The 23,392-nt window shown below is 40.0% G+C and overlaps 1 long non-coding RNA gene across 1 annotated transcript in view; it reads left to right on the forward strand.

The window, feature by feature from the left end:
• Positions 1-19,296: 19,296 nt before the first annotated feature.
• CASC21 (cancer susceptibility 21) overlaps positions 19,297-23,392 on the forward strand; it is a 147,995-nt gene continuing 143,899 nt past the window's right edge. The window contains exon 1 of the long non-coding RNA NR_117099.1: positions 19,297-19,444. This is a non-coding gene — a long non-coding RNA (cancer susceptibility 21). The remainder of the gene's footprint in view (positions 19,445-23,392) is intronic.

Genomic DNA, 23,392 nt, shown 5'->3' on the forward strand with positions numbered 1-23,392 from the left:
TGAAAGGTTGTGTAGGAAGCATTTGATTTTCCTGTTATATTACTTTATTAATAATCTACAGTTATTGGCTAGTTTCCAGAAGCCTAAAGCAAGAGAACTTGATAATGAAGGATACCCTAAAAACCAGAGACCTTTGGGCAGACACTGACTTGGGGCATTAGGAGAACTCATTACAAGTCCTGGATCTTGATTTTCCCCTTTGTAAAATGAAGGACTTTAACCAGGTACTCTCTGGGTCCTGTTTCTGCTTGGAGAATTTTTAAGACCTCAGAGTCTATCTGTGAACTGTTTTTTACTGAGCACAGTTCTCTCATGCATCCTGTTTGTGCTCATTTCTCAGGACACAGTGATAACAAGATGGGCTTCATTCCTGCCATCATGGAGTTTTAGCCTAGTGGAGAAAACAGATAATACCATTGGAAAACCCACACTGAAGAAAGATTGTTACCAATCCTTATGAATGCAGTGAAAAAAACAATGAGGCTCTGAGGGTTACAACTACACAGTATAATGAATTACGCAGAGGGGGTGTTCAACTTAGACTGAGGGCCGGGGTGTCTTAGGAGGAGGTTTGTAATCTGAAACTTAAAGGACAACAATATCTAGTCATGGCCTAGATCATGGCTCATGGCCTGTAATCCCAGCACTTTGGGAGGCCAAGGTGAGAAGATCACTTTAGCACAGAAATTCTAGACAAACCTGGGCAAGATGGTGACACCCTGTCTCTAAAAAAAAATAATTAAAATTAGCTGGGCATGGTGGTGCATGCCTGTGGTCCCACCAACGTGAGAGGCTGAGGAAGGAGGATTGGTTGAACCCAGGAGGTCAAGGCTGCAGTGAACTTTGATCATGCCATTGCACTCCAGCCTGGGAGACAGAGCAAGACCCTGTCAAAAAAAAAAAAAAAAGTTAAGACTTAAGCATTTCATGGAGAAGGAAAAGAGTGTGCAGGAGACTGAGGTTGAGAAAAGTTTGGGCTGTCTGAGAAACCAAAAGGAGAAAAGGAGAGAAGTGTCAGTAGAGTTCAGTGAGTGAGGGTGCAGATGGGGGATTATAAAATATGAGATGTGAAAGAGGGGCAGGTGCAGAAAGATCAAAATTGAGGTTTCAGTATTATGTGGGGAGGTAACCTAATTTGGTTTATATCTTAACTCCATTATTCCAATGGCCATTTAGGGAATAACCCAAATTAGGGCCAGCACAGAGGCAGGGAGAAAATTTAGGAGGCTTCCACAGTAGACCCAGTCAGAGATAATGGTGATCAGATGGAGATGGAAAGAGGTAGATGTGTTTGGTTGGTATTTTGGAAAAGACTCTGATAGAATTCCTTGATGGACTCATACTTGGGTAATCATTGAAGAGCAAGTCACTGTGTTAGGGGCTGGGTGAGATGAGTATACAAAAGTAAAGAGAACCTGACCCTCTGGCCAAGACCTTCAGAAGCTCAGAGTTCACGTAATTTTCATAAAATTCAAGTGAGTAAGGGTTACAGCAGCAATGAGATGTTCTTTTGCTTTCACAACAGATGAGGCCTCCATGAATGGGGAGTAAGAAGAAAAGGTTTCACAAAGGAGTAGGCCTGTGAGCTGGGCCATGAAGGGTGGGCTCTGATCTATCAAGCAGAGCAGGGGGAAAGCCCTCAAAGCAGAAAGAGCAAAGCTGCATGGTGTGAAGACTGCATGTGATTCAGGAACCGTGAGCAATGGTAGACTCGTGCCAAAGCACAGTGTGTAAGGAAGACAAGGCTGGAAACGTATGCTGAGGTCTGACTGTGAGAGTTTGAAGCCCCACTGAGAGGTCTGCACGAATTAAGAATTTCAGAGAAACATGATTAGTTCTACAATTGGAAAAATAATTCTGGTGCTAAGAACTAGTAAGGTATAAGATAAGCCTAATCACGGAGTGATTTGAAGTTGAAAAGAGTTTATAAGTTATTCTTTAAGAAATCTCTGTTATTGAGGTGTGAGGCAGAGCCAGTACATAATGTCTACGTTCTGAACCAACTGAACGGGGAAACAAAAGGCTAACATTAATATCAGACATTTGTAGAGCATTTACCTTGTGCCAGGCAACATTCTGGATGCTTTATGTACATTAGCTCATTGAATCATTTCAATTCAATCATTCAACGCAGGGGTTTGAATCTTAGCTGTTTGAGGTCATTGTCCATGCACTCACCTATAACATTGTTCTGTCTCTTTCTGCAAATGTAAGATAAAAATATTACCTTCATTCTAGAAAACACCCCTTTGTAGAATAGGTTTATACCTTCAGGCATGTGGACTTTCCAATCCAAACTCCAGGAGTAGACAGATACCCACCAGGACTAGGCAATGCAGGAAAATCTCAGGCTTCAGCTAGGACTGTTTCATACAATTTCCTGCATGGCCAGGAACAAGGGTGAAGGCATGCACTCTGTGAGCAGCCCATTTGTGGACAGTGGGTCATGGGACTGAAGGAACCATGTTACACATGCCTGAGTTTTCTTTCCAAGCTCAGAAACCATATCGAACACCCCTCCCTTGGGGAGAAGTGAGTGAGCAGGTGGAGAGACGATAGTAATGTTAGTATGGTGGAACTTCTTCCCCATAGATGGAAACACTGAGGGCTAAGAAGAAGGGCCTCTCCTCCAACATGTGTTATCTAGCAAGGCTGGTTCTATTTAAGAATGATATATAGTCTAGTGTAATAGAATACAATATGCCTAGCTCTAAAATTATGTTGGAAAAAAATCAACATTACGATGTGCTATATTCAGTCAATGAGTAAATATTTCTGTGCCTGCCACATGCTCAGCATTATAATTAGAGCCACCGTGAAAAATACTTATCCGTGATCCTTTATGCTGTCAAAGCCTAAATTCCCCACTTAACCAAGAATCCTGGATAATTCCCAAAAAACAAATTTATTATTTGTTTCTATGGTTGTGTGTTTGTCAAAAATTGAAGCATTAATAGAAATAAGAACAATTTAGACTATAAAAGCCATAGGCTTATAAAAATGCTAGCATCAGCACATTCCAAAACTGCCTGCCCCATCCCTTGATGGTATGTGTGATTGCTGTCACAAAACTAGCAGTTAGAATCTTTTGTAACTGAGGATATAAACCAAATTTAGAAATATGTCTTTACTAAAGGGTGGAAACTTAGAAACTGAAGTGGATTTACCACAATGAACTAGAACTAAATGTACCAACACAGGCTCAAAACACTCTAAGATAATTTTTCAAATTTATTTAAAATTAAGAAAAGAAAACTGGGTAACATTGAATCACAAACAGTTGAAAACACTGGGGTTACATAGTATTAACATATAATTACATGATCATTTGTGATAAACAGAAAATTTAAAAAAAGAAAAAGGAGAAAAAAATAAAAAATAAAGAAAAACAAAAAACAAAAAAATAGAAAATGAAATGAGAAAAAAATTGATCAATGGCAAATCACTGGAGATAAATCATTGTGTACAGATTTCCCTATTGAAAAAAATAACAATAATTAAACACCAGCTAAGCCTTCTTTCTTCTTTTGATTTTTGTGAAAAATCGCAATAAGATGTATCTCTAGATCGTGTGCTTGCCAGAATCTTTGCTGTTTCTTAGGTGAAAGATCATTGATAAGAATCTGGCATGGAGAACAGTCAAGGAAGCATTGCAGCTCAATACAAAACGGTGGCCAGGGAAGATCCACTGAATTAGGAGTCAGCAGTCATTATTCTACTACCTGCTAATCTTCTATGAGCTTCGTCAAGTCATTTAAGCTTGGTACCCGTCAGTTTCCTCATCTGAAAACTGAGAAAAGTTGTTTCAAATTGTCTAAGTCCATTCCAGCTTGATCATACTAGCATCTTATGTGCAGCTTCTTAAAGTCCAGCTCACACCTCTGTCAACTCCCTGTATAATATGACTTCCAAAAAAACACCTGTGGTTTGGTTATACATATATATGGACATATATATGTTATACATATATATTGGTTATACCTATATATGGACATATATAGGTCCACTCTTCTCATATCCACAGCTGCTATCAATATAATAAATGGGCAGTATCTGTAGTATCACTTATTAATAAAATGAAGTTTTTCTGACATATACACAACCCAGACTATTAGGTCATTATCTCAATAATCCCTTAGTGTAGGGAAAAGGGCAGAAAACACTTTCATTTTCTGTCTTGAGCATTAGCAAGCCACAGTCCATATAATTTAATTAAAATAACAAATGAATAATCTATAATTGACCTGTGTCTGTTTCTCCAAGCCAAAGGGTAAGTCAGATATACATGATTTTAAAATCTCTTGTTATTTTCAATATAAATTGTTCGGCTAAGTATCCAACAAATTGGAAGAATTAAAATGTTAATATCCAGTGCAATAATCTAAAACCTACTGGTCATCTACAATATAAAATGTTAGATTTTAAGGAAACTTCAGAGCTTATTTTACACAATTCTTTCACCTTTATGGTTGAAATTTTAATTTTGCGATTTCCTTTTATGAAGATCTGGAAGTTACAAAGACAGAAAGGTAACCTTATATCTCAACAGTTGAGAATCAAAGGAAGTTAAATAATGTACCAAGATAAATCAGCTTCTGGCATAAAAAATCCTGTCACTTGGACTTGAAAACTGGTGGTCCTGGGATAGAGCCTAAAAATAGGTCTTTTATCCTAATATATATATATATATCTATATATTATAGATGGAGAGAGAGAGAGAGAGAGAGAGAGAGAGATGGAGTCTCACTCTGTTGCCCAGGCTGGAGTGCAGTGGCACGATCTCGGTTCACTGCAACCTCCACCTCCCGGTTCAAGCAATTCTCCCAGCTTAGCCTCCTGAGTAGCTGGGATTACAGGTGTGTGCCACAACATCCAGCTAATTTTTGTATTTTTAGTAGAGATGGGGTTTCACCATATTGGTCAGGCTGGTCTTGAATTCCTGACCTCGTGATCTGCCTGCCTTGGCCTCCCAAAGTGCTAGGATTACAGGCATGAGCCACCACCCCCGGCCAATCCTAATTAATATTGATTACAAATTATTAAAAGTCACTCAAACTGTAATTATAACATTCTTATACCAGCCGTTCTCAACAACATAGTGTCTGCCAAAAAGTAATTAACAAATACTCCCTGTGTTCTTGTTGATGAAGGAAGTAGGATGAGAAAAGGAGACATTTAAAGGTAGTCTACAGGAGGTATAGATTCATTTTTCTATGATATAGGGTGTTTATTTTTAATGTGGACTACACATTGGAAGTAATATTTCTTGATTGTAAAAAAGGCTGGGAATAATTGCTTACTGCTGGAAAGCAGAGGATATAGATCTAATAGAGAAACAAGTAGCCCTACAAGAAACAGCAAACACAGACTCAATGTGTATGAGAGAGACAAGGGCTGCAATTAAGATGACCAACCATTCTGATTTCTCCAAGACTGTCCAGGCCTTCTCCCACATCTCCAGAAACCACCCCCATTGTAGGTAAACCAGGTTGGTTGGTCACCTAAGCTGCAGCATCTTGCTGCCATTCTGTAACAAGCAAAGACAAGAAGGTTTTAATTGGTAACCCAAGCATAGAGAGCTAGACACACCTAGCCAGTATGGACAATGCAAGTCAAGAGAAGTGCTGGACCTGCTGAAAATAACAGGACCAAAATGAGATGGATCCCTTACCCATGCTGGTAAAGAACATCAGCAAGTGTTTAGTAAGGGAGGGCCAGTGCCTAAATTGAGAATGCATTATGTGTTCTCTATAGTGTCCTCTGTGCCTGTATATGAAGCCAAATTGATAAATGCCTGATTCCCAAGGCACGAGTCCATCCTCTGCCCAGGCAGACACAGAACATTTACCAGAGCACATTTTCCTGCTGACATCTGTTCCAGTGGGAACACAGAATCTGCTCAAGAAATGGCTCTAGACCAGCGGTTCTCAAACTTTAATGTGTATTGGAATCACCTTGTTGAAATGCAGATTTGATATTTTGATTAGGGGAATGTTGGCAGGGAAACTGAGGTTTTGCATTCCTAACAAGCTTCCAGGTGATGCCCACAGACCACACTGTGAGTGGCAAGGCTGTGAGCTCCAGTAATCAACCAGGTTGGGAGGGTGATTACTGGAGATGAAAGATGAAACCTATTTGACACACCCAACCTAAAGCAAAACTACCTACTCATAGGGCTGCTCTGAGGGTTAACTGAAATAAGTCACACAACGCTCCTAGCACTGTGCCTAACATCTAAACCACGTATAGTTTCCATGCCAAATGATGGGTTCCATCACTCTTATTAGTAGTCTTGTAAATGCAATTTATATGAAAACTTCAGAAAGCCTGGTTTGTAGAAGTCAATGAGAAGAGTGGGGTTATTAATATATATACACTCAGTTCTGACTCGCACAGAGAACAAGCCTTCTGCACAGCAGAATTCAGAGGAGGTCTACTCTAGTGCAGGGCTTCCCAGCCCCTGGCTGTACGGTGGAATCACATGGATATCTTGCAAAATACATGAATGCCATTACCTCACCCCCGATCAACTGAATAGGAATCTCCGGTAGTCAGGTCCAGGCTTTCCAGAGTACAGAAAATTTGCAGGTTATTCTAAAGTGCAGTCAAGTTTGAGAGACAGACACATAAGGAAACTAGAGCTCCCCGAGTTCTGAGGTGGACTCTCATCTCTGCTTTGACAAACTTTCTGTGCCCCATTTTCCTAATTTGTAAAATTAGAGTAATGGAAATAACAGTAGTGTCTATCTCAAAAGGCTAAATAAATCAATTTATGTAAAGCCCTTATTACAGCTTAATTTATGACTATGCTACATTTGGCCCTACCAGAATGGATAGGTGGTGCATGACTATTACTATCAATATCTAAGACCTAGTACCTAAGTAAGAATTAATTCTACGGAATTCTGTATTTAGACCTGTTTGTATTCAGGATGTTATATCTTATACAAGCATTATTTTAGGGATAGTAATACGACAATTTAACATATTGTGAGCACATACTATTTATCAGGCATAAATACATATTATATACTAAATACTGTACTATTAACATATGAAAGGCAAAAGAGTATAATAGGAAACAGATTCAAACATGAATTGTGGTTCTACCATTTACTACATATGTGACCTTGAGCAAGGTACTTTTCTCATCAGCAGCCTATTTCCCTATCTATCAACAAGTATGATGGTAATACCTACCATTTAAGGATTATTTCAAAGAATGAATGGAGAAAATCAATGTAAAGAATCTGGTATAGCACTTGGCACTGAATAGGGGCTTACTAAGTGCATTTCTCCACCCTATCCATGTATTTTGGGGGTATAGGAATGAATAAGATACCCCCAGTTTCTATAGTCTACTGGAGAATACAGGAAACAGACATACAAATTTCATTGTTTCCTCTTTAAAATCCTTGTATTAGAGACATACAGTGATAAAGAGCTAGAGTCTATTTATAGGAAATAGGAAGTTCATTATGTATATGTGCTGGGTTCCTTGATATGGTACATCTGGGAATTTTATTTTTTTGTATGTGCATGGTTAGCCATCGTTTTGATTTTTGGTGGATTTTATACTTGTTACAGTTTTTAAAGTAGATATGATTTGGCAGATGTTTAGAGTAGTAGGTGTGTGTTGCTTTTGATGTCTTTGAGAACACAGAGTCCTCGAGGGCTTGGATGTCTTTCTATAGTTGTATTCTCTAACTAATAACTATGCAGTTCATGAGCGTTAAACAATGTCACTCCAAGTTGCATAAGAGGCCATTCTACAGGAAGCAGAGGGAGTTAGTGTAAGAAAAAACTGAACATTCCACATGGATATTGTTCCATCCCACTCGACAAGGGGCAAAAGTGACTGAGAAGTTCATAGGGGATTCTGGAATGGATCTTAAAATCTTCGTAGAACTTGAAAGATGTATTCAACCTACCAATTCCCTGATAAACTGATGATGGCTAATAATAATGATTCATTCGAAACACTAATGCCTACTCAAGACTCAGAAGATGGGTTGAATTTGCATTTATATTCCTAACTAGATGTTTAATTGCATTTAAATACTATTTAACATTTAAATGACACTGTAATTTACAAATAAATATTTCTACCACCATTTAAGTGGTGATTAAATCATGATTGTTTGATTCACACATCATTCTGTGTACTATTACTATCCCATTTTACAGATGAGCAAGTCAAGCCAAAGAATTCATAAGTAATCAAGACACAGGTATTCATCTAGTCAACAGCAGCAGTACCTATGAGCCCCAGCCATGTCTCGTGTCCACTGACTATGCTTTTCCCACTAAATATTGGCCATGTTGGGCAATGTGTCTTGTTACTTGCCTGTGTGTCAATTTCTTTATCTCTTGACTCTACTTCACAGTGAAAATATGATAAAAATGAAGCTAATTAAGAAATTCTGGAAAAAATAAAGTTTTGTATAAGCCTAGAATGTGGAAATGTGGAAGTGGACCAGAATTAGGTGTGTGTACAAGTAAACCTACCACCCTCATTGAAGCCTACAAACCAGGCACTCTGAAATTTTAATTATTTTTTGGTTAACACTGCATTTCTAAAAGCCTCCTGGAACATTTTACTTCCAATTGCCAATTCTTTAAAATCCTCTTGGGTTGAGTCCAAGCTTGAAAAATTTCATCTGAAAATGAATGTTTTGGTTGTTTTTTTTTTTTTAACATTCATAAAGTTCAGGGCATAAAGTACTCTTTCACAGAGAATAAAAACAAAGTTTACAGTGGAAATCATGTCATAGACAGGCCATGGGGCACTTTTCTCCCTAGCCAATCAGCCAGAGCTGGGTAAGTGAAGGATGGAATCTGGCCTCAGGGAAGAACTTTTTAGGGTAGACCCAACCCCCTCTGTGAGACTGCTCCTGCTAACTACGCTGTGAGCATACTGGGCTTGCAATGAACTCAAAATTCTCATCTGAAGTTTGACTTTATTTCACCATGCATTGTGAAAGGGTGACTTCTCCAATCATCCAAAGGAAACATGGTCTCCTTAGCAAGGCTGTACTAAACCAGCCTAAAGCCATTAAACCTGAAATCCAGTGCTGTTAACAAGATGGAACAAGTGAGCTCCATGCCAACTGGTTTTCAGCCCCAGGTAGACTCTATTTAAACAGGCTGTGAACTCTTTCCACCACCTGCGTTCTTTAATACTTCTTAGTGAATTTAAAACAAGTGATCCCAAGCCACAGTGATGGCTTAGGAGCTGCCAATACCAAACGTATTGAAATGCAGTGTTCCCTTAGCTGCCTACTCTTTGCCCGTATTATGCTGCAACTGTACTGAACCACCTACAGATGCCCACACATGCTATGCTTTCTGTTGTCTTTGTGCTTTGGAACCTAAGAGGCCCCTCCCTGAATTTTCTCCCTCATGGCTCCAACAACACACTCACCTCTCTTTCTGGTTCAGGACATAGGTCCGATCCTTACTTCTCCCTTAGTCCTTGGACTATTCTGCAAGATCTCAGGTCTGCACTCACAACACACACTATGTTTGCTTCCATCTCAGCACTTCTCTTCCTATTACTTGCCTGTATTTTTCTTCATTCAACCAGTTATGAATTCTTTAAACATTTGGTACATTCTACTCTACAAAATTTGAATAAAGAATGACATACATACAAGCCATTCACTGTTGTTTAGGTGACAGAAAACTACTAGTTATCAAGTGCCTTCAATATGCCAGGCACTGTGCTTGGTACTTCAAGTGAATTTTCTCATTATGTTTTTCCAAATATGCCGTGAAGGTGGTATTATTACTAACATCATCATTTTATAATTGAAAACCTTGTGCTCAGAGAAGCTAAGTAATTTAGAATTGTTCCAAGACCATACCAAGAGAAATTGTATTCATTTTGGAATACAATTCCAGTTCTGGAGTATTCTGAATGGAATCCCATGTCTGTCTAACTTCTAATCTCAAATAATTTCCATGCCATCATATTCCTTTCCTTACTTCTAGGGAATAGCACTGGTTTCATACTTTCAGACTTTTTTTTTGTTTGAATTATCCAAGTGTCAAATGCATTTTTAAATTTCCTTGAACAGGGACCTGAAAATGCTCTGGTGTGTCATTTAGAACCCGCTTCAGAGCGAAGGCACTAATTTAATCAGTTGATGGGAGTGTTGAATGCTAATTGCATTGCCCTCTTTTGGAGACCACGAGTTTGCCCACAGTTACACTCCCTTCCCAGGGTCAGTCTGATCTAACGTTAGTCAGTGTAGATGTGCTCTTTGTCCCAGTTCAGGAAAACTCTGCGGGGCCACCCTAGTGCTAGAGCTCCCTGTGGAATGGGCTAGTCATCAATTGCAGCTGCCTCACAGTTCAACTTCTCCCTCTGCCCAATCCTGTTTCCCTCACTCTCTCTCTCTTTTTTTTTTTTTTATTATTATTTAAGTTCTAGGGTACATGTGCACAATGTGCAGGTTTGTTACATATGCATACATGTGCCATGTTGGTGTGCTGCACCCATTAACTTGTCATTTACATTAGGTATATCTTCTAATGCTATCCCTCCCCCTCCCCCCACCCCACGACAGGCCCCAGTGTGTGATGTTCCCCTTCCTATGTCCAAGTGTTCTCATTGTTTAATTCTCACCTATGAGTGAGAACATGTGGTGTTTGGTTTTTTGTCCTTGCAATAGTTTGCTGAGAATGATGGTTTCCAGCTTCATCCATGTTCCTAGAAAGGACGTGAACTCATCCTTTTTTATGGCTGCATAGTATTCCATGGTGTATATGTGCCACATTTTCTTAATCCAGTCTATCACTGATGGACATTTGGGTTGGTTCCAGTCTTTGCTATTGTGAATAGTGCCACAATAAACATATGTGTGCATGTGTCTTTATAGCAGCATGATTTATAATCCTTTGGGTATATACCCAGTAATGGGATGGCTGGGTCAAATGGTATTTCTAGCTCTAGATCCTTGAGGAATCACCACACTGACTTCCACAGTGGTTGAACTAGTTTACAGTCCCACCAACGTGTAAAAGTGTTCCTATTTCTCCACATCCTCTCCAGCACCTGTTATTTCCTGACTTTTTAATGATCACCATTCTAACCGGTGTGAGATGCTATGTCACTGTGGTTTTGATTTGCATTTCTCTGAGGCCCTATCTCTCTTATAAGTGTTGTTCCTGAAGACACTATCCAGTGAACTTTCTGCATGCAAGTCTCCATCTGAGACTCTGTTTCTCAAAAAACTCAACCATAGGTATGACAATGAGAAGTCCATGACTACAAATTACTAATCAGAGTAAAAAATTGCAAGCAACATTTTAGTGATGGTTTAAGGATAGAATGCATGTCTCTCCAAATGCACTCTCTGGCCCAGAAAGTACTATGGATTTTACAATTGGAAACTGGACCTGCTTTGCAATGAGAATGGTCAGCCCTTGAGCTTCATAACTCCACCTGTTCACTCTGTGACTTTGTCTAGGTCATGTAACTTTTGTAAGCCTCTGTTTTGCATGGAACTCCACCAAGGCATCAGGCACATTTTTCAAGTATGCCCTATGGTTAGGGAGGGAGAGCTCTTGGGCGCTGGCCACTCCAAAAAGTCACTCATCTCTTAATGGGATTGTTTATCTAGTGGCAGCCTCCACTTTAAGAAAAAGGAAAACCACTTTTCTCAGTGGAATAAGCCACTACTATGCATGCCAGTCAAGATTTTAAACATATGTGTTTTTAATTATGACTATACTCAGATAAGAGTGGCCAATGATATAAGTAGGAATCACAATTTATGCCATATAACCATTCAGCCATCACACATTCCTTATTAGTCCTGATACCTGTAGTTTCCAATATCGTACCTCATTGTCACAGTTATGGTGAGATTATACTGAAAAATATAAACAATGTATATCTAGAAATGGCAAAGGGGTTCACCCTAGAGAAGAGAAATCTCAGGGAAGACATGCAATTGTAGCTCCCTTTATGGGGTTATTACTGTATGTTACTCTATGCCAGACCTGCATGGGGAGTTGTTGATCAATCGGTATAAAGAGTTAGGTAAGATGGGTCAGTTCTAGTGATCTACTGTACAATGTACAGTACTTAGCAATAGGTATTGTGTACTTTAAAACACGTTTAGGAGGATAGATCTTATGTTAAGTGTTCTAACTACGAAAGAAACACAAAGGAACAAAAGGGACTTCTTTTTTTTTTTGAGATGGGGTCTCGTTCTGTCCCCCAGCCTGGAGTGTAGTGGTGCGATTTCCGCTCGCTGCAAGCTCCGCCTCCCGGGTTCACGCCATTCTCCTGCCTCAGCCTCCCGAGTAGCTGGGACTACAGGCGCCCGCCAACACGCCCGGCTAATTTTTTGTATTTTTAGTAGAGACGGGGTTTCACCGTGTTAGCCAGGATGGTCTCGATCTCCTGACCTCGTGATCCACCCGTCTCGGCCTCCCAAAGTGCTGGGATGACAGGCGTGAGCCACTGCGCCCGGCCCAAAAGGGACTTTTTAGAGGTGATGGGTACGTTTAGTACCTTGGTCTTGGACTGTGACCATGGTCTCATGAGTGTATGCACATATCTGAACTTATCACATGTGTACATTAAATGTGTGCAAATCATACCTCAATAAAACATTCTTTTTTTCTTATCTTTAATTCTGCTATTTTTTTTCTTTAGATACCACCAAATTCACTGGCCATTTACCATTCAAAAATCCAGAACTATGCAGAACAGGCACTCTTCCTCTCCATTCTATGGATGAGAAAAATAAGGCTTACAGTGTTTTAATACCTTACTCTAGTCCACAGAGCTAGTAAATGCCTGAGCCACATTTTAAATCCAGGTTTTTCAGAATTTAAAACCTTGATTTTTATTTTGTTTGTATTATGTTACCTTCTATGTTTATTTTTCGCTATTTTATTGTCACTTTTTCAACTTTATTGTAATAAGATCATTTAACATGAGATCAGCCTTCAGCAATTTTGAAGTGTATAGTCACTGTTGACTATAGGTACAGTGTCATAGAGCTGATATCTAGAGTTCATTCATCTTGCTTAATTGTAACTTTATACCAATTGATGAGTAACTTCTCATTTCCTCCTTCCCTTTAGCTCCTGACCATCTATAATTCCAGTTTTTGACTTTATAAATTTAACTATTTTAGGTATCTCATAAAAATGGAATCATGCAGTATTTGTCTTTCTGTGACTGGCTCATTTCACTTAGCATAGTGTCCTCAAGGTTCATCTATGTTATCTATATTGTAGGATTTCCTTATGTTTTAAGGCTGCATAGTATTCTATTGTGTGTAGAGACCATATTTTCCTTTTTTTCTTTCTTGCTTTCTTTCTCTTTCTTTCTTTCTTTCTTGCTTGCTTGCTTTCCTGCTTTCTCGCTTTCTTGTTTTCTTGCTTTTCTTGCTTTCTTACAGGGTCTCACTCTGTCACCCAGACTTTACTGAAGTGCCACAACCATGGTTCATAACCTCAGACTCAACCTGTCTTGGCTCAGGTGATCCTCCCACCTCAGCCTCCTGGGTAGCTGGAACTACAGGCAGAGGCATGCGCCCCTCTTTATTTATTTATTTATTTATTTGTAGAGACAACGGGTTTCAGCATGCTTTGCTCACGAGGCTGGTCTCAAACTCCTGGGCTCAAGCAATTCACCTCAGGCTCCCAAAGTGCTAGGAATATTGGCATGAGCCACCACACCCAGCTACTGTATTTTCTTAATCCATTCATCTGTCAATGAACATTTAGTGTGTTTCCACATCTTGGCTTTTGTGAACAGTGCTGCAATAAACATGGAAGTGCTAATATCTTTCTTCAGTATTCTGATTTCAATTTTTTTGGATAAATACACAGAAGTGGGATTGCTTGATCACATGACAATGATGGCCACAAGAACATTTGGGCTCACAGCCTATCATTTTAGCAGTCCCAACAGAGAGAATAGTTACCCTTTCCTAATTGCTCTAGAAAAATCTCAGGATTGCATCTGAGTAAGTTGGCTTTGATCACATACCCACTTCTGAACCAAGCACTGTGAATATTAGACACTTTACAATTATTGTCCAGAACCGAGGAATGTACTAACTTTCAAGCTAGAAGTTCAGCTAAAAGGAGCTAAAATCACCTCCTTCTAAATTATGTGAACAGAGACGAGGAAAAGGGAGATTCTCCAAAGGAGGGGTGAACCAAAGGAGAAGGAAAGAGGTTGGGATGGCTGAAATGGCAGATGCCTTCTGTGGGAAAGAGATTTTCATACCTGCAGTGCACATTGTTGGAACTCTTATCTCCTCCACTCTTACAGTGTCTGCACCGAAGCCTGACTGCCAACTTCCAGCACTATGCTCCTTTGCCACAAGGCTGAAGTTAACTCTGCCTGTACAAAAGGCAGAACAGCAATTCTGGCCTGCCACTTGCATGGAAGTTAACTCCTTTCAATAGCAAATTCAATAAATAATTGTGCAATCTGGTACATAAATACCCCGGCTCCCTTACCCCTTAGGTTAGGTAATTCTGAGATATATATGCTAGGAATATCGTCCTTAAAGTTCTCTAACAGAATTAAGCTTCATTTATCTGAAGCTGAAAATGTAATCAAAATATATCCCATATTGTGGCCGGGAGTGGTGGCTCATGCCTGTACCCCTAGCACTTTGCGAGGCTGAGGCAGAAGGATCACTTGAGCTCAGGAGTTCAAGAACAGACTGGGCAACACAGTGAGATCTTGTTTCTACAAAAAAAAAAAATTTAAATAGCCAGGCATGGTGGTGCATGTCTGCAGTCTCAGCTACTTGGGTGGCTAAGGTGAGAGGATCACTTGAGACTAGGAAGTAGAGGCTGTAGTGAGCTGTGATTGTGCCACTGTACTCCAGCCTGGGAAACAGAGAAAGACCCTGTCTCAAAACATATATGTGCATATCCTGTATTGATTTTCTTCCATTCTCTGTGTCACTTCTCCATATCCCTATCTTATATTATGGAATAACCTCCCAAAGAAACTAATTGTGCTTGAATCCTTGTCTTACAGGTAAAAAGCAATGAGATAGGCTGTTCCATGAAGTAGCAAGTTTCTCAGCAGTAGAAGTTTTCAATAATGAGTAGAAAAATGGATTTGGGGAGATTCAAAAATAAAATAGGTAATTGGATTGCAGGACCTACATTTAGACCATGCAGTCCCTTCTAAGGCTAAGTTGAATTATTACTTGTTTGACTTGTGACAGAGTCATTCTTGCAGAAAAAGAGATGTATGTTCATGCCTTGGATTCTGAAATTTGTGAAAGGAGATAATATAAAAAGTTATCTGGGGAGGGAATATTTTTTAAAGGTTATTTGAAGGTACGAGGGTTAGCTTCCTCTTTTGTTGTAACCTATTCTTATAAAAAGACCTTTTTGAGTGCTTCCTTTGCCTGGGAAGACCTCAACATTACAGGAGGATGTCATTTCCTTGGCTCTGACTAGTTTTAAATTTTGACACCCACCATCATCCAGGCAGAGAAAGAGCCTTCCCAAGATAACCTAAAGTCAGGAACATACATGGCTGCCACATATGTTCAATAGGAGGTGAGAGTGTGTCATCATCTAAAGTTCTTTGTGTTGGTTTGGACATGTGCCCAGGAGACAGAAGTGTAAAGGAAGTGATTTCTCTCAAAATAAACACATCAATCAAAAAAAGATACAGAATATAACTATTTTACCTTTTTGATGTGTGAAAGAAAGCAATGTCGTATGAAATTTATTCCACCATGATGATTTTACTTCCCCAGTGGTAATTTTCTCCAGCTCACTCATAAAAATACTAATAATGGACAAAATTTGTTGAGTGTTAACTATGTATTGGGCACTGTGAAAATGACTTAATATAAATCATGCATTGAATCCTCCCAAGAAATGGGTCCCATTAAGTTGTCCACATTTTACAGAAAAAGTAACCAAAGCCGAGAGGCTAAAGAGGCTTGCTGAAGTTGACACAATAGTGAGGTGCAAGTCTCCCTGTCTCCAAAGATATATTAGTTAGTAATCGCTGTGTAACAAATCACTCCAAAATTTAATGCTGAAAATAATAAGCATTTATATTGCTCACAAGTCTACAGGTCAGCTGGGAAGTTTTTTCTGGTCTTAGCTGGGTTTATTCATGCATCTGCAATCAGCCCTCAGTTGGGTAGGCCGCTGCTGCTGTTTGGACTCACTCACATGTTCGGAGGTTAGCTGACAACTGGCAAATCTAGGATGTTCAGAATTGAAATAAGTGGACTTTTCTCCAGCTGGTCTCTCACCCTCCAAGTGGCTAGCCTAGGCTTGTTTTCATGGCAGTGGCAGTGGTATGATGTCTAGGCCCCAAACGGACACAGAATCATTTGTATGACATTACATTGGCTGAAGTAAGTCACGTGGCCAGCCCAAATTTGAAAGGCAGGGAAAAAGATCCTGTCTCTTCATGGGAGGAGCTACAAAGTCATGCTGCAAACACACGGGGAGGCATGCGGGATTGCAGTTAATCCTCCATGGACGCTTATGTTTCTACCACTGTGTCCTTCCTTGCATCCTGGCACCTCTCTGGCAAAGTATACCAGCAGGTGTTCTTCACCTTGGTTTTGCCTGAATGAACATCTAAGAGAGAGATAGCCCATTAATTGCCAATTTTGAAAGAGACTTTCAGGTCTTGTACTTATCTCCTACCCATGTTAAATCTCCTCTTTCAAACCTCCCACAAACAGGCCTTCGGCACCTGCCAAGACACTTCCAGTGATGGGGAGCTCAATATTATTACGTTAAATTGACTTTTGTTTCCTTTTACAGTAAGTGCTTTGGAATAGGGCTCTCACCTCTATATTTGTGCAATTTCTTTTTCAGGCATCCTGTTCCTATGCTCTTCCTTCTATACACTGAAATCTTCCTTCTAGCAATTCCCCATCTCTGCTCTTTTTCTTGCTCCCTGGAGCAGACTAAAACAAATCTGTGGCTTCTCCTATATGACAACTATTTTATATCCAAAGACATTTATCAATTTCTTCATCAATTCTCCAGGTCTTTCCAGATTTAATTATTCAACTGCTCCTCTAATGAGATCAATACACTTTACTGTGTGTACACAGGTTGTCAATGTTCTTTCTTTATGTGGTACCCAGAGTCATCTACATCCTCTGAGTAAAACAGAACCAAATTGCTTGTTTTTCCTCCTCTACCTCTTCTTCCTTTTGTAGTTGCAGGTCATTCTTACTGCATTAAATTGAATTTGGTTTCTCACTCACAGTAAGTAATTTGGAACAGGACTGAGAGCCCTATTTTTGTACAATTTGTTTTCGAACCAAAGGAGAGGCATCATCTGACTTTCTCCTTTTATTATTTCCTCTGTGAGTTCAGTCCTTTCCTTCTAGTCAGTTGCTGTAAACCTTGATGCTTTTATTTAGACTGTTTATTCATCACTCAGTGGTCTTCTACTGAGATACTTTTCAGTACCTTTGTTTGTGATAGCTGCTTGGGACACAAAACTGGGTAAACCCCAGCACTGGTCCTTAAAGAGTTTTCAGGCTACTGGGTGAGGCCGTGGTTTAAAGCAGTCTCTTTCGGGCAACCTCAGGCTATTTTAGAAGCATGCTTGTTTTTCAGGGTTTCTCCTATACCCTTCTTCGACATCTCAAGAGGACACCTGAGAAAGAAGACTGTGTGGCCCTGCGGTGTCAGGGGAGCATTGTCTGGTTCCCATGCTGTCTTCTGCTGTGGACTTCCTCAGCATGTTGACGATTTTATTGGGTCTGGATGTCAAGGATGTCGATGCTCTTATTGTCTTCCTCTATAATGACCTCAGATGTTTCTGTGGCCTCCAGTCTTGAAGTCCACATTCTGAATGTGCCCTCATGTTGACTCCCGGCTTCCTCCAAGCTCAGGATTTCCATGTCCCCTGAGGGCCAGTGGCAATAATGCACTGTGGCTCTCTCTCTAGTTGGTAGTGACATGTGAGAGATAGCCTGAGCCATGTCTTGGCTTCCCTATGACTTGCTCACTACAATGGATTGTAATTCCATGATGACTATGGAACTTCTTTGAGGGGCTTGCAGACTCCCTAGGCTTTTTCTGAGGATTCAAGGATTCCAGTTCTGTTTTACTTACTTTCTCCTAAATGAGATTAGGTTTCTGTACCCTCCAGCTTGACATTTTACACCAAGGGGTGAGCTGGAACTTGGATGGTCATGTTGTACATCTTGAATAGTCATTCTATTCTTTTATCTTTAACACTCAGACTCCTCCCAAGCACTCTGGTGACTCTCTGAGCCATCGTTTTCCTTCTGTGAGAACTTCCCTGCATCAGTCAGTTCTCACAATTTCTATAATCTGCTCTGTAAGTGCCTTCAAGTTCTGCCTCAATGGAAGTCACAAGACATTTTTTGTTTGTTTTGTTTTTTTCTCTGTCAACAAAACCAGCCATCTGTACATCAAAAGCATTTGCCTTCATACCATTGTCTTACTGTATTCTTAGAACAGTATTCCAGAACTCAAAGCAACAGAGTCTCTGTGTTCAGACTGGTTCTTCTCGTAAACAAAGGAAAAAATGGTCATTAATTTTATAGGGGCAGAAAGAAAAGGGACAAGGACTTCGGGAACTAAAGGTTCTGTCTACATGGGGATTTATGATACTATTCTCTCAATGATAGATCTGGAAGTTTGATTCACCATGAAAAAAAAACCACACTTTTAAATGCTTAATTCCTGTTAAACTTACAAAGAAATTTGACATGCCAAATAATAAACAAAGAATTCAGGAACCAGAGTGGTGAGAATGATGTGATTTGAGTGAAGATTTTCTAAAGGCTTAATAGGATTTCTTCCCTTTCTCTTATTTTCTGTACCACCTAAATTCTAATAACAGAGGACAGTTAACTTTCTGTTATTAGAGCTCTAATCCAGTCACAAAAAGAGAAAAAATTAAAGAGAGAAAAGAAGAGAAAAAGGGAAGGGAAGAAAAAAGAAAGAGAAAGGAGGGGAAGGAAGGGAAGGGAGGGGAGAGGAGAGGAGGGAAGCGAGGGAGAGGAGAAGGAAGGGGAGGGGTGAGATGGTGAGGTGTGGAGGAAAAGTTAAATATTAAATTTGAACTCAATTGAACATCGACACAAACAATGGTCACCAAGTCCCAGAACAGGTTGTGTGTGCCCCTTGAGGCGTTCATCCAGCACTGTTTCAGAGAAATCCCTATTTCAATCTATTCCTATACGTTAGTTATTGAAAAGCAATAGACAATCACAAAAAACAAGTTGACCTTTTTGTGTTCCTTGAGCCAAAGGGCCCTCATGACTGGGCCTCACACCGAATAACTCGTTACAAAAAGAGCTAGGGTCCCAGACTGCGCCAAAGCTTCAGGAGACTGCTCCTCGTCTGTGCACAGATGAGTGGCCAACTCTGGAGCCCAGGTTGTTGCTTCCTAGTCTGGTGGTGAATCCTTCATAGTCTGGTGAGTATAAATATATATATATATATATATATATATATCTTCCCTTTTCATTGCAATTTGCTTATTATATTATTTGCTTATTATATCAACTTGCTTATTATATTGATTTGTTTATTATATCATTTGCTTATTATATCTGCATCGCCATTTACATGGGATAAAGGTTGTTTATCCCTAAAGGCATTGTGTATGTGTCTTTTCTTCTCCCCTTGCACGTTTCCTGCACAGAACAGGAGGAATAGAAAAAAAAAAAGGAGAGGGGAGGGGAGGAAAAGGGAGGGGAGAGGAGGGGAGGGGAAAAGAGAAAATCAAAATGGACCAATGACTAGTGTTTGGAACACTAAACCCCAAATTAAGTCTTAAAATGACTGAACATTCTGAGATAAAAGTGACACACACCCATCCCCACCCCAAAAGCAAAAAGGACAATGTAAGTGACAGACAGAAAAGAATGTGGAGACTGTGACATGGAATCCCTTAATTTCTAAGATCGCTCATTGTTCTGTTGGAAACAGAGGGTTAGGTAAGTGTCTAAGACAGAGCCAGTGCACAAGTGAGTGGTAGAGAGAGTGATAAAGCATCTCCTATTTTGAATGAGATCTTCTGTCTCTTCTCATACATATCCCAATCCACAACAGCGAAAAAGTAATACGTAGATTCATTCATTCAGTGACTCAGCAAATAGTAAGTGCCATGCATTTTCCAAAACATTAATAATACAATTGGGAGCAAAGCAGACAAATGTCCCTTGCCCTGATGGGAGAACACAGGCATTAAATAAAATAAGTAGATCAAAATATAGTATATACTAAGTGATGAGAATTGTTATGGGAATAAGTAAAGCAGGTAAAAAGGAATGAAGGCCCTCTGTGAAGGAGGATGCTGTTTAAAATAAGGCGAAGGCAGGCATCTTGAGACAGTTGCATTTCAACAATGGCCTGAAGGAAGTGAAGGGCACCTGAGAGAAACATGTTCCAAGTAGAGGAATCAAGCACAAAGCTCCTGAGGCAAGGCTTGTGGACTTGTAGCAAAAAAGGCCAATATGGATGGACCACAACAGGGAGGAGAGCCTGCAGGTAAAATTGGAGACATAGTGGGAGCTGGCCATTTTAAGAATTTAGACTTTTATCATGAGTGAAAGGAAAAGAACTGAAGGAGTTGGGTGTGGTGTTTATAGGATGTACACAACAAAGTCATCGCTTAGCTGCTGTGTTAGAAGTAAACCATAAGTGAGCCAAAGGCAGAAGCAGAGAGACCAGGTATCAGGCTGTCAAAAAGAAAAAAAAAAAAAAAAAAAACAAAAAAAAAACACAGAGATGATGGTAACATGGACCAGGGTGGCATTCCAGGTGGTGAGTGGTGGATGGACCCTAGACAGATTTTGAATACAGAACCAGTAGGATTTGGGAATGTATTAGATGTGAAATGTGAGCAAAAGGAGGAGTTAGGCACTTTTGTTCCAATTGAAGGATGGAGTTGCTATTTTTTGAGGTCAAGACAGCAGAAGGAGCAAGTTGGGGAGGAAGGAAACTGGGAGTTTGTTTTGGGCAAACTTTTAAAGACATTCAAGTGCAGACGTCAAATGAGTAGTTGTATATGCAGCTCTGTTGCATTCACAGATTTGGCAATGAATTTGGGAGTCATCAGTGTATAGATGGTATCAAGGCTGTAAGACTATATGGGAGTGAGTATAGACAAAGAAAGGTGATGTTTAAGAACTGAATCCTAGAGTATACCAAAGTGTATTGTTTGGGAAGTTGAGAAGCAAACAGTAGAAGTGACTGAGATGGAGCAGCCTGTAGGGAATATCAGAATGGTATCCTGGAAGAAATAAGAAAATATTTTCAATGCAGAGGGAGCTGTCACTAGGTCCAATGTTGCCACTAGGTCACTTAAAAATAGGAATGAGATCTGCAACATGCAGGCTTTTGGAGACATTAGCAAGACACATTTTTATAAAGAGGGAAGAATATAAGCCTAAGCAGAGTGAGTTCCAGAGAGAAAGGGAAAAAGATTTAAGAGATAATGAGAAAAAGCATCTCTTTAGAGAAGTTTTGCTAAGAAGGGGAGCAGGGAAATGTGGTATCAAGGAAAGGAGTTTTGAAGATGGGAGGAATTACACACAGACTTCATTTGCAAATAAAAATATTGGTATGGGAGATAAAGAGTGCTTTCTGAGGCACCATCCTTGAGTTGGTAAGAGGGAATGGGTTCTGGTACAAAAATGCAGAGACCGGCCTTGCACACAAACATGGATTGTTAATTCACACTGAGAGAGAGGTGAGTATATAGGGCAGATACAGGCAAGGTAGACGTGGTGCAGGGATTGGGAGAAAATTGCCTTCTGCTCCCTTCTCTTCTCTCAGTGAAATAGGAAACAAGATCCAGACACTATAGGTCACTGTGCAGTCACATTTTTTTGGATTCAAGGTCCTGGAATGAGTGAGTTGGAAAGATGGAGTGTGGTGGTTAATAAAGTGAAATACTTGAAACCGAGATTACAGGGAGTGGCAGTGATTTTAATGCCAAGACCTAAAAAGAAGAGAGAAGAGGTAAGAGAGTTAAGGTCAAGTTACTGGAAAGATTATCTTGACTGCTAGTGAAGTCACCAGTTTATGATATGAACAGTATGATTATGATTATGAGAACAGGTCAGGAGTTAAAAACTTCAAAGAATAAGGGGGAATTCTCTGAATCATGGGTTTGTAGATGCCTGCAATAAACAGGGGCAACTGAAGGTATAGATGGATGACATAAACTTCAAAGCGAGTTTTCAGAGAGCAGGCAGGGAGAAGCATCTGGAGGCTGGAATGAGGAAATAAGAGGACACCTAGTCAACCTCCAGGCTAGTGATAGAAAGAAGCAGAAGAAAAAAAAAGTGACAAATTAGAAGGACTTTATGAGGAGGCAGGGATCCCAGGAGTATCTGAGTTTCCATTAGAGCAAAAAGGCAAAAAGGGATTTATAAAGAAGTGGCACAGGTTATAAGGGATTTTGCTGATGACTGATCTGGAATTGTACAAGGGAGGGTGAGGGAATTAGAAAGAGGTGAAGATGGGGTCAGATTAGGTGGTATACAGAGCAGTATTGGGGAAGTATATGGGAGCTAAAGGATGAGCTGGGTGTCTGGGGCTTTTGTAGTATTTTACGGACGTGGAGATCAAGGGAGGATCTTCTGCAAGACACCAGTGGTGAGATTGTGAATGTCAGGGGAGATAGGGTGTGGGGTCTTTCTTGGAGCACCCAGGGCTCTGAGGCATTCTCTTCTCCCTCCTGCCAATGGCAGTATGGAAAGCAAGGAAGAAATAGTGTTACTATAAACAATTAAGCATGAGCCCCCTCCTCATTCTAGCCAATGTTTTTGCTTTCTTCATTCATTATACAAATACCTTTTCAGGGCCTCGTAAACCTGAATACTAGAATATAATAGTGAGGAAAATGTCAGTTTCTTCTCTCATGTAGCCTTCAGAGTATTGGAAAAAACTCCGTTCCAAAACCCAAGACTTATTCATTATTCTATACCACCTCTTCAGGGGCTGCTTAATTACCTAAATCTGAGTATCTATGACCTCAGAGAAGGGATCTGGGCTGAAAATACAAACTTGAGCCATAATCAAGTACAATATGGCCTAAGGAAAGAGTCTACACTCAGAAGAGAAGGACTATCAAGAGTCTGAAAAATTGGGGGTAATTGGAGTGGTTCCAGAAAATTAAATATTGGGAAATGTTTCCTTTTTTATTTTATTTATTTATTTATTTATTTATTTATTTATTTTATTTATTTATTTATTAGAGATGGAGTCTTGCTCTGTTGCCAGGCTGGAGTGCAGTGGCCCGATCTCGGCTCACTGCAACTTCCACCTCCTGTGTTGAAGTGATTCTCCTGCCTCAGCCTCCTGAATAGCTGGGATTACAGGTGCGTGCCACCATGCCCAGCTAATTTTTTTT

This window comes from Homo sapiens, chromosome 8 (assembly GCF_000001405.40).
Source record: "Homo sapiens chromosome 8, GRCh38.p14 Primary Assembly".
In the NCBI taxonomy this organism is placed as follows: Eukaryota; Metazoa; Chordata; class Mammalia; order Primates; family Hominidae; genus Homo; species Homo sapiens.